The sequence below is a fragment of the Homo sapiens genome, chromosome 3 (assembly GCF_000001405.40).
Source record: "Homo sapiens chromosome 3, GRCh38.p14 Primary Assembly".
Lineage (NCBI taxonomy): Eukaryota > Metazoa > Chordata > Mammalia > Primates > Hominidae > Homo > Homo sapiens.
Window position 1 is genome coordinate 25,049,641 of NC_000003.12, and position 12,319 is coordinate 25,061,959.

The following is a 12,319-nucleotide window of genomic DNA, read 5'->3' on the forward strand; positions in this document are numbered from 1 at the left end:
CAGACTTCTGAATAGCGATATAAAGAGAATACATGAAAAAATAAAATTAAAAAATTAAGGATATTATTTTAGCTCAGCATCTTCACATTTGTTTGAAGATACAACTAATCCAAACTGATGTGTTAACTATGGATGATTCCCTGCAAATTTCATCAGCATTTCAGTTAATCACTTGAAACTGCCCAGTGTACTGAAACTGTTTATTTGTTTGATACGTATTTTTGGCATTGTGAATAAAAAGCAAAATATAGTTCTCTCATGGACCTCAAAGTCTAGTAAAGGGAAAGACACGTAGACGGGTAGTTTGTTGTTAGTGATGTGGTGAGCACTATTACACCTAGGAAGATGATACTATTAACAATTTTGGGAGGAAAAGTTTAATAGAAGGAAAGGGTATTTAATCCGGATTTTAAAGGCTGAGTTTTCTAGGTGGGTGAGGAAGGGTATTTTGGAAACGTGGAAAAGCATATGCCAAGCTTGTATGAATGTGACAAGTTTCTGGGCTTGGAGTTTTGTGTGACAACACAGAAGATTGTATATTGAAATGACTATGCAACGGTCAAACCTAAAAATCTGTGCTTCTCCTTGACTCCCAGGCTGTGGCTGTGGAAAGAGTCTAGAGGGCACATTTACTATGTCAAGGTGAGCTGCTTTCAAGCAGATAAGACACACTGCATCACCTTATGACCAAAGTCATCATGAAATGGTCAGTATTTTACCCAAGGATCAATCCCAAAGATAAGAACCATAATACTTCTAATTAAATCTTTACTTCTCAAAAGGCTCATGATTTAAAAAAAAAAATTAACTCTCATCCTTTTACACACGAGTGAAGTGATTTGATTTTCGAGAAAAAGTATTATGTGTATTCACTTTACGAAGTCAAATAGTTCTATAAGGCTTTTAACACTACTCCACCCTTTTCCACCACTGATTCCTTCTCTCCTGAGGCAATCATTTTCAGCTTTTTAGCAAGTTTCTTGTATTTCATTCCAATATTTCCAAATTCCTTGTTACACTTTTAAAAATTCATTTTAGTCATTTCCTGGCATCCAATTATAGAAAAAGATTTAACTCTTTCATGTCACATTTGTGTGCTCATTCTTCCTCCCCCATTCTCCAATATAGTTATATCATAATTAATCAATATTCAACACTTATGAATATGCAAATATTGCTTACATATGAAAATGCCATATACTAGGAAGACATTTATTTCTGTCATATAAATGAACTTGCTTCTTGTTGACCATCCACTCCTCTTCAACTCAACAGAGTTTAATGTTTTAATTCTTTCTGGTGCACCAAGTCTCCCATATGCTTTCCAGCTTCTAAAAATTTGACATCATTCATTTACTGTTGTCTCATCTCTCACTCTCTTTAACTGTGTGGATTTATGGCTTCTGGGAGGAGGTAGAGAGAAATGTGTATCTTTGATATGCCATGTTTAACACAAGTAGAATAGGGTTTCCTTTTCTGAAGCCACAGAAAAGGAAGGAGTAGAATTGTAAGTGAAAATGTCTGATTATCACAGAGGAAAAGCAGGTGTTGAGATAAAGCAGAGTTTAAATCACCTGTCAAGGATATTAAGACACAGATAAAGTAATACATGTATGGGGGAGGAATAGAAACGTGTAATTGTTGTTGTGAATGTTATATTTGTTATTGTAGGAGAAAGGGAGTGTTTCCAGCGTTAAGATAGGCCCTGACCTGAGGATTATAAGGAAAGAAAGAAAAAAGAAGCTTCTAAGTACTTTCAAAGAACTGTCTAAAGATGCTTTATGCCTAAAAACCAAAGTAGAATCCAGCCTCATTGAATCCTATGTGCATAAAAATAGAAGAGAGGAGAATAAGATTATTTGCAAAGATCAAGCGGTATATCTTTGAATTAGTAAAGGAAAAAGTTTTATTGTTAATAGAGCTTCGTTACCTACATGTATAAAAATAAGACTACACATTCAATTTAATCAATATTTTTAAAGATACTATTATTCATTAGGAACAGTGAGCTATTAGATGATAGATAGATCAAGAAAGTTACAGTTCAGAAAAGACCATGAGACAAGCATATAAACAAAATAATGCAAGATAAGCTATCATAAGTACAGAGAGAAAGGGGTATGATAGAGGAGAGAACATGGCCAAGCTAAGAATTTATGCAGATGAGAAACTACTTCTATGCTTGAAGGGAGGAAGCATCTTAAATGGACTGTGAAAGAAACAGGTACAAAAATGGTGAGAAATGGATTCTGTGTGAAAAGACTTTCTCACAAAAGCTATGTTATCCTACCAATTTCTCTAACCCTCTCTCTACCTCCCAAATATATTTGACACTCATGCTACAGGCACAGTATAAGATGTTTTGTTGATTGTGGATACTCAGGGACCCAGGCTAATGGAGGCTCCATCTCGGTATATGCTTTTGTGAGCACTAAGGGAAGAAAATGGGAAAAGGTCCTCATACCCATTTCACTGGCCAAAGCTAATTGGCCTACACCTAACTTAAACTGGACAGAGGAGGTGGTATGTAACTTACATCCATCCTGAGGAGAAGAGCACAAGAATATTTGCTTAAAGCCCTTATTATCACAATATGTGACAGAGAGGATGCATCCCATTGTGTATGTGATTCCCAAGCCTCTACTGTTGACCATCACACCTAACTGCCTCCCAAATTCTATTACAGATTCATTGAAACTCAATTTTGAGATACAGAGAAGTACAATTGCTAGCTTTAACAAATAAAAATATAGGACACCAAAGTAAATTTGAATTGTATATAAAAAAATACATTTTAGTGTAAGTAAATCCCATGCAATAATTGGGGCATACTGTACTAAAAATTGTTTTTTCTTCATTTAAAATTTAAATGTAAGTAGATATATTTTCCTGTTTTATGACAAATGTACAAGAAAAAACTAAAATAGGGTAGGAAATGTCTTAACTCTTTTAGACGGACTAAATGGAGAACCACATAGCAGCATGGAAAAGTTGGTTAGATTATAATTGAAAGTATTTTCCTGAAGGTTAGTGCATGCAGGAAGTTCTTCAGGTGAAAATAGTAAAGTAGATTGCAATTTAACAATCATATTCTCTTATCTTTATCCTAAAGCATTCTTCCCTTACACCAGAGGTAGTTTTGTGTTCTCCATCTAGAAATACGTATGTGACTTCTTGGGTATGACGAGAGAAGAGAAGCCAGGAGTAGTAAAAGTGGGGTCACAAGTGAGAGGTAAAAAAGTCATAGAAAAAAAAAAAAGATTCTAGATTGTGAGATGCTGAGAAAGAAGGCAATTTGGCAGAAGCAATGAGATTGTCCTTCCTCTAGGTTACCTGGACCCAACTTTTAATAGCATGTTTATAGTTTGGAGCATTCCAATTTAGTTGAGATGTGAGTTCAGAGTGAAAATTAATTGAAACATTGAAAATTGGAAAGTATCCTTAAGGAAAGGGGAAAAGAAGTGGAGTAGGCTGAGGGGGAGAGATTATAGTTTTTAAGCAATTGAAGCGACGTAATTAACCTAGTAAATAGCAGCACCCCTGGACTACAAGGGAGTGTGGCTTATGACAAGGTTTGATGGTGGTAATTAACTTTATCCCTTCATACAATCACATTAAACAACTTATTCTTAAGAAAATCTGCTGCAACTTCCAGCCTCTGCCTTGTATCATACATGGTCACCTACCTGTCTTTTTCTCTCACAAGACTGCAAGCTTTCCTAGGGGTAAGAATTGGGTTCCGTTTATATCTGACACATCCTTAATCCAAAAGCAGTTTCCTTTGCTTAGCAGGTCCATAGTAGATGTTTATTGAGTTGAAATGAATTGAATCCTTGGCGGCAGTTCCTAAAACACAAATGCAAAGTTTGCATTGCCATTCCAGCCGGAACTTTGAACTTTGGTTTAAAAAAGTCAGATGTCCTTTCCTCTAGGCATCTGTAAGCTGTGGAGGAAAACAGTTACAACACTTTTGAAAGTGGCTTGCAAACAAATACAAAGAACACTCAGGCCAATAAATATAGCCCATGTGTTCCATAAATGTTGATGGAGTTCTGATAGGTTAGTGCTTTTGGAAATCACTTTGCTTTGAATGTTAGGTGAAAAAATTTCTGTAGAGTTTCTGTAGAGTACCCAAATCAGTTACGGAACTGGAGCAAGGTTAGGGTTTATGAGGAAGGCTATCATCTCTCTTCCTTGCTGACCTAAGAATCTGACCTCAAATGCAGTGGTCCATTAACTGCCCTGCCTGTACTCATCTTTTGAAATGTATCTTTGGAAAGGAACATATGAAATCACAGGGCATTGTAATCCCATTCATCCTACAGATATGGCTTGTGCTCCTACTCTGGGCCTGGCGCAGGTCATTGTCCTTGCTCTTGAGGAGTTCTTGGTTTCATGGGGGTTGAGTGGGGAGTCCATGTGGACACAGTTCCAGTACAGCTTGATCAAAGCTAAAACCTATGAATAAACAAAGGCTCTGAGGTGAGTTAGTGAGACTTGTGTTGAAAGAAGTAGTTTTATGTGTCTAAAATGTAGACTCATAGACAAGCCTCTTTTAAACCAAATGTGCATACACTAATTATCCATTGGTTTATTCATTCAGATGTTTTTTTGACAGGGAAGTTGGCTAAGCACTACGTGAAATAAATAGATGAATGGCTTGTTATTCACACCCTTAAGAAATTGATTGTGTACTAGTTGGGGGAGCCATGTGAATGCCTCTAAATCAGTGTAGGGAGATGAAGAAGCATAGGAGAGATACAGAGAAGTCCTGAGGGAGCTGAATGTCCTCTTCTACCTGGGGAGGTCCGCAGGAGAGCTGTGGAGATGGTGGTGTTTGGTGTGAACCATGATCTCACTTTGTATATCTGGATTTGAAAGGCAGAAAGCTACTTCAGACAGAAGGCACAGGATGAGTGAAGTCAGAAAGGCTGACTCTCAACAGTGTGTATATAAATATTTCCTAGCACTTGCCCCTGAGGGGAAAGGGGGAGCAGGAGAAACCTGAGATGCAGGGAAACTGTGGATGCTGAGTAGAGCATAGCAAAAGAGCTGGAAAATGGAGCACAAACTGTGGAGCACAAACTGTGTCTACCTAGCTGTTTTGCCAAAGGCCAGACAACCCTGCTTTGGAATCTGAAAAGAAAACCCAGATTATTTATGTGCTACCACTAGCAATATATTGAAGGCCAAGAGGAGCTGAGAGTTATTGAGCTAGTTCAAAGCAATCTCGATTATTGAAAATGAATGAAATTGAATTCCACTTCCTACAGAGTCATTTATTGAGAGACAAAAGCAATTAATACTGAAAATAAAATAATTGTGAATTCTGAACTAAATTACCATGTAGATATAATGTACTGTCTCATCAGTCTCTAAATACTTCGTGTATTAGAAAATTGTGACACCGGTTTCAGAAACCAGGGACTTGTATATCATTAGCATTTATTCCATTCTGCTTTTGCTCAAAAGCAATTCTCAAGAGTAACAAATTAAAAGCCAAAGTTTCAGAAATATTATTCAAAATTTAAAATACACAACCATGTCACGGTTTGGGATTTGTATTTGTAAATTAATCCTGTCATTTGGTAAATTAAAAGAGAAGATGAAGCTGACCTTGTGAGGTATCCTATAGTTCATTGACAGCGGCAGATATTTTTGAATATGATTGCAAATTTGGCTTGTCATGGAGTACCTGCCAAGTACCATGAATGTATTTGATGAATAATTCTGCTGTCAACAACAAGCATCATTGTCTAACTGATTTATGCACTGAGGGCCCTTAAGAATTGAAAGTACAATATATATACAGAGATGGTACATATAATTTGCACAAGTTCCAGCTTGAGTTATAATACTTTGTTTTATGGAAACTACAGGGTCTCTGGAAGAGTTGGCTACCCATTATCCTTACTCTTTACAAATTTGGGAAACTAGCTGTCTTAAGTAGCTTTCTCCAGAAAATAGATCTTGTGATGAAGATTGGGGGAAAAGTTATTAGGAGGAATTGGGGAGGAGTGGGACTAGAAAGAGGAGGCCAATAAAGGGACAGTAGCAAGCGTAGTTACATAGAGAGTAACTTCGGTTTGATCCTGCTCAGAGGCTCTGGAATTAGGGTAGGGCATACCCCGGAATCATCACAACCAGAAACCAGGAAGCTGGTGTATTTAAACCTCCTCTATGCAGCAAGCCTCCAAAAAGAGTCACAGGTGCTGGCTGTTGGGAGTGAAAGTACATGGGGAGCTGCCATGTTCTAAGATGGTAAAGGGATCTGGGGACATGTGGGCAGTGCTCTGACAGCATCTGCCACACCAGTCATGTTAGCTACTCCATGATTATCGTTAAATGCTGTGGGAACAGAGTTTAATCTAACCAATCTGTCCCAACAGTAAAGAACTCCCTATTACCCTGCCGGGAAACATGCCCAACTCTTAGTGTCATCTTGTTTCAAAGCCCAATGTGCAGGGAGAGGTTTCAGGGGGTCAAGAGATCTATTTCCTGCTGGTAACAGGCTGGTCAAAGAGAATCAACACAAACTAGGCAGCCTAAATTAGGAAAACAAATCAGAAGCAGGGTAGCCATCTCAGCTGCCTTCAGAGGCCAAACAGATAACCTTAGTGAGAGAAAGCTTCCAAATGGCTGGGTGTAGCACATCAGGGGAGGGAAAAGCTTCTGGAAAGCCACAGAGATTCCCATCTAAAAGCAATAAAATTCAATCTTGAAGAATACTGGCTCAAAAGTATATTTTGTGAACATAATTTGCCCAGTAGCCTATCAGTTTGCAACATTGACTGTCTAAAATAAATGACCTTAATATGTGCATAAATATTGTTTGGACAATTACAGAAAACTTTCTAGAATACAGAAAGCAAATATAAAAGGAGAAGAGTGCTTAAATCTACTGGATTCTTGCCACATGTTTTAAAAGTTGGGACTCTGTCCCAGAGCAATAGATCCTCTTAGTAGCAGTTTCATTATAATGAATTCTTTAGTATATACCCAATAGATACCCAATTTATATACTTGTATGTATCTCAATGTATCATATGATATACATACCTGTATATATGATAAGATAATTCAACCCTTATTTTGGCTGAGAGTTTTGCCATCACCATTTTGAGAGGATAGAATTCTTTTAATTATTCAGCAAAATATAATGTTGTCTCTTAAAGACAAACTATCTTGATACAATTCTTCCTTTGCCCCTCCTTAGAATCATTAGAGAAAAAATTCCTTAATGACGAGTGACTCGCTAAAGTCTGTGTAAATTGATTGACTGTAGCACTAATGACTAAGCCTTGAAGTAAACCATATGGTTAGTGTATGAGCCTTCATTGTTAGATGTTCAGAAGTTGTATTTCATGGTGGCACTCCCCAGTATGTTTCCCATGTTCCTTGGGATTTCTGCCATGATTCATCATCCATAATCAGGTAGATAACTCAAAGTCTGAGCTTTCAGTCTTGAAGCTTATGGGCTGAGCCTAAATAGTCCCACTGTTTTATTTAAAGAGTATAAGTATTTCTGCTGAATCTTCCATGCTTATTGCATTGAACCCACAAACCAGCCCGTGTTGGCAGTCATAAGCCAGTCAGGAATAGAAACTTAGGATTCTTTTGCAATAAGCATTCTTGTGTTCCCATTATGACTTTAAGGTAAGATGCTCCATCATTAAGGGACTTGTGATTATCTCCATAATTTTTCAAATTATATTTGAGAATAAGAGTTGGGTTTCACTATTCTGGCCGTTTTTCCACACTTAAAATTCAAAACAAAATACTTGTCCTTGAGGCTGAATTTTAAATTCCTAATCTCTTAGGGAAATCATAAGCAAAAATAGATAGAAAAATAAAGCTTCAATTAATCTATGTTGGCTTGCCTCACTGACTGAACTTGCCAGCTAATTGAGTAACTTTGAATCCAATTTTTGCTTTGAAAGACTTGGCATAGGAAAGACTTACTCATTTGTGGACCCTATGGGATGAGAACAGCTTCAAAGGAAAAATGAAAAGGACTTCTTTTGTTTCAGTTTCTTGGCTTTTGATTTATACTCATGCTTGCTTTTTTATTTTAAGAATATGATGAGTCCTTATTCATTCAGACTTACTAGAAGAAGACTATTCCAAATGATTGAGAAAGCTAAACTATCATTTTAAAATAAATTGAATTTTTTTTTACCATCGAAAATGTATTCAGAACTTGACCAATAAAGTCTTCTAAAAGAGCTCTTACAGAAATTGAATTATTACTTAAATAAAAATGATGTATATAGAATTGTGGTACAAAGATATACTTCTGAACAATTATCATTGTATTTGATTATTTTTCCTGAATTAAACTATTCCCCTCTTGATGCTGCCCAAACCAATATTGAATTATGTACTGCACTTCCACTTTGCTTAGGTTATAAAAATTGACTTTAGAGCATAAACTTCCTGTCCATTAACTTTCACCTAAATGGCACTGAGTTGCCATTTGGTTAATTATGTTTGGAGTTCAAAGTTGTGATTATAGCTGATTTATCAGATGTAATCTTTTAAAGGCATAAAATTAATTAATGGCAGTATAGGTAAAGAAGGTTAACTTTCCCTCAGTCATAAAGATTAATGGTCTTGATTTTCATAATTATCCTGGATGTTGATATAGTATGCTTTGCTTTTGTGTGGTTGGGTTGTATAAACTCCAAGTGGTGAAATTCAGGGAACATTTTGCCACAAAAGGGTCTTTATAGGTTAAAGGAACTGACCAATCTAATGACTTTTGGTTTTAAAATTGTATAAAACTTACACAGTTCTGTCCTTTTATCTCTGGCCATTGAACAAATGTGAAATCTGTACTAAATCAACCAGTAAGATATAATCCATGCCCTCATGAAGCTTTGATGGGCATCTCCAAAACCAAGTAAAAAGCAAATAAGTACAGTTATTACAACTTATTAAAATAAAATCTTTGAAATTAAAAAAATCCAGTGTCCTAAGACACAGAATAAGAGGGGCATGAGTGGGGTAGATGATCTAATTGTATTATTTTCTTTATTGTTCACTATTACTAATTTAATTTTCTCCTATAAAAACAAAAACCAACCAATTGATTATGCAATTGATCAAAAATTTGTTATTGGATTCCATTAAAATGACATGATTTTTGAATTATTAAAATGATTGGTTCTATATAGATTTGACAGGTCCCTATGAGTGAATATAATCTAGACATTTGAAAATTTTTATATTTGTAATTTATAGCTCCTAAATAATTCTTATGGTAATAAAATATGCAATCAATGTAGAAAACTTGAAAGTTACAAAAAAATTCCAAAAAAAATTTTACCCATAATTCTACCACCAAGAGATAACCAGTATTAATGCCTTGGCCAGTATCCCAGTCACTTTCTAACACATGCATAAATATTTATACATGTGCATTAGTACAAGAAATCTAACTATACACATTATTTTACAATCATTTTCCACATTTTGGAGTGAGAATTTTCCCATGATATTTTACATTTTCTATAATATAATTTTAGTGGCTGCATAGTATTTAATTACATTGTTGCATCTCAGTTGAGTTAACCTAAGCCACTATTTATGTACATTCGTTTCCAGTTTTTCATTTTTATAAATACTTGGATGCCTATCTATTTCCTTGCTTTTAATTATTTCCTCAGGGCACACTCCTAAAAGTAAAATTGCTTTGTTAAACTCCTGAGGCTTTGGATATATGATGAAAAATATCCCCCAGAAAAAAACCATACCGATATACACTTCCACTAGCTGGAAATATGTCCACTCTCACCATACCTCACTTTTACTTGGTACTTGTTTTTATTTTTAACTTCTGTCATTTTAGTAGTCATAAAATGACTAAAAAACCATGTTCTGTACTTTGTATTTCATGTGAAATTAGAATACGTATTTAATGATGCTTTAAGATTTGTGATGCTGCTTTAAAAATAAAACTAGAAACAAAATCAAATTTAGAGGAAATGGGAGCTTCTAGGATATGAGCATTGTGGAGACAAAGTTCAAGGTGATGCTGTTTACAAAAGCAAATGAACAAATTACAAGAGAATACGAGTAATAGAAGGGGAACAGCAACAAAACCTCCTATTTAAAAAAAAGCAAGCAAAATCAGGGCCGAGGATTCTTTGTCCCCCCAAATCAGAGTTTGCTATAATCTCTGATGAGAAATGTAGTCTTAGGTTGGTAAATACGGTAGCATCTTAGAATTCCTGTGACTTTTCTCTTGAAAGAGTTTACATTGATAGAATCTGAAAAAAGTGAGTTGTCGGTGAAAATGACATTCCACTAGAAATCGTAAATAGAAAATCTTAAGTTGTGGGATCCCTGGCAAGCATCTTTCCCTATTAAAATAGTTATCAAAATTATATAAGAAAATTGAATAGCCGTGTTAAATACAGTGATAGAATGTTAAAATTGAACAGGATTTGGAAGACTGTCTAATCCAGCCACTTATTTTACAGATAAAACAGAGTACTGCAGAGATGAAGTAACTTGCCCTAAGACCCATACCTGGTAAGTAATGAAAGAAAAAGTAAATTACATTTGAACAAATATTTTGAAAAACATGGAAGTTCTCCATAATCTAGCACTTCAAATATAACCGTAGTTTGGCATATGAATTTTGAAAGTCCTTATTATATACACATAAAAACCAATATTTATATTTTTACTATATATAAAAATGGTTCTATAAATGGTTCTTTTATGTATATTTTGTAGAGATAGAATGTCTTATTTTCTCTCTGCTAACACGTGGATGGTATAGAGCAGAGGGTTGCAAACTATAAGGGGCCAGATAGTGAATACTTAGGCTTTATGGACCCTACAGCTTCTGTTACAGATACTCAACCTTGCTGTTGTGTTGCAAAAGCAGCTCAGGTCAAAATGTAAACAAATGGTGTGACTACATTCCAATAAAATGAGATTTATAAAAACAGGCAACATTTGTCCTGCAGATTGTAGTTTGCTAATTCTTGGAATACAGAAGGAAAAAAATCAAGTTGATTTAGAAAACAATGAAGCTGAAGGGGAAACATAAAGTTTATCATGGGAGTAGATGGCAGAAACTGAATTGGAGTTTCCAGTGTTAGCCATGACCTTGGTTAAGGTAGGTAGACTCGCTGGCTTCATGAGTAGAGTGTGAGTACTGATACCCAGATTGCAGGGTTATCTTGAAGATTAAATGAAATTATTTATGTAATTTATCTGTTAGTAGGTAAGAAAAGACTTTTTCTTTTGGGATGGGGTAAAAGCAGAATTTATGTATTCACACAGATGAAGCATTTGTGTAAGGAAGAAGTGGCCAAATTTACTTTATCTCAACAACTCAAAGACTTACATCATATGGATCCCCTTAAAATTCATGTTTCAAACTGTTGGGAAAGGTTGTGTAGACATAACTATTACCAGAATGGTCCTGAGTTTTCCTGAGAAAGGATTAACATACTTGGCCTGGAACTTTTGCAATGAAGGAAACATTATAGTTTAATTCATAGTGATTTGAAAAGATAGAATACTTTTTAGAGGGAAAATCTAATTACAGTGAAAATAAAATTTAATTTATTCATCATTTCCTTCGTTATTATTTTGGGAGAAAGATAAATATGTACATACAAATAATAGCAAAGGTAAACATATCAAAGTGTACTGGGAAGAAATAAGGAATTGATGTGATGCTGCTTAACTATAAATTTCTTTTATTATAATCATATTTTTATTTAATCTTCCAGTGTATCTATTGGGTAAGTTCAGTTGGTATTTTAAAACAGAATTTCTATAGCAGTTCCAAATAACTTGATTGCTTTTTTCTAATTGATTTTGAACTTAATGTATTTTTTATGACTTTGTAACTTTGTTTTCTTCTCTGCTTGGTGTAGTTACACATTCAGTTGAGTACTTTAAGATTTGAACACAGACAGCTTTCTTGGTATTTTATTTTCCTATTGCTTTTTATTCAGAGCTAGCTGCTTTATCTAAACTTAAATGTAAGCTGGAATAATGCTAATTTATTGTTGCAGTTTAATAATAATATGTTGATCCACTAAATTTTATATTTTGGAGAGAAAGGTGTTTTATACTAGTTAAGTGTTAATAATGACTATGGTTTACAATTTAGAGGAAAAAAGTGATTCAAGTTAATGTTGATTTGTTAGAATAAGTATATGAATTTTTGAAAAAAGAACTTACCCAACTTAGTAACACAGCATATACTCTAATAAAGTTTAAATAATTAAAACATTTTGGCACTGGCATAAGAGTAAAGAATGAAATCAGTAGAACAGCACATCTGGAAAAA

At 34.9% G+C, this 12,319-nt stretch overlaps 1 protein-coding gene across 1 annotated transcript in view; it reads left to right on the forward strand.

Annotated features, from left to right (window-relative positions):
* The window catches only part of RARB (retinoic acid receptor beta), a 768,612-nt gene that overhangs the window by 220,320 nt on the left and 535,973 nt on the right, over nt 1-12,319 (forward strand). Inside the window, exon 3 of the mRNA NM_001290216.3 lies at nt 10,485-10,536. The gene's annotated coding sequence lies outside the window, so the exon portion shown is untranslated. The remainder of the gene's footprint in view (nt 1-10,484; nt 10,537-12,319) is intronic.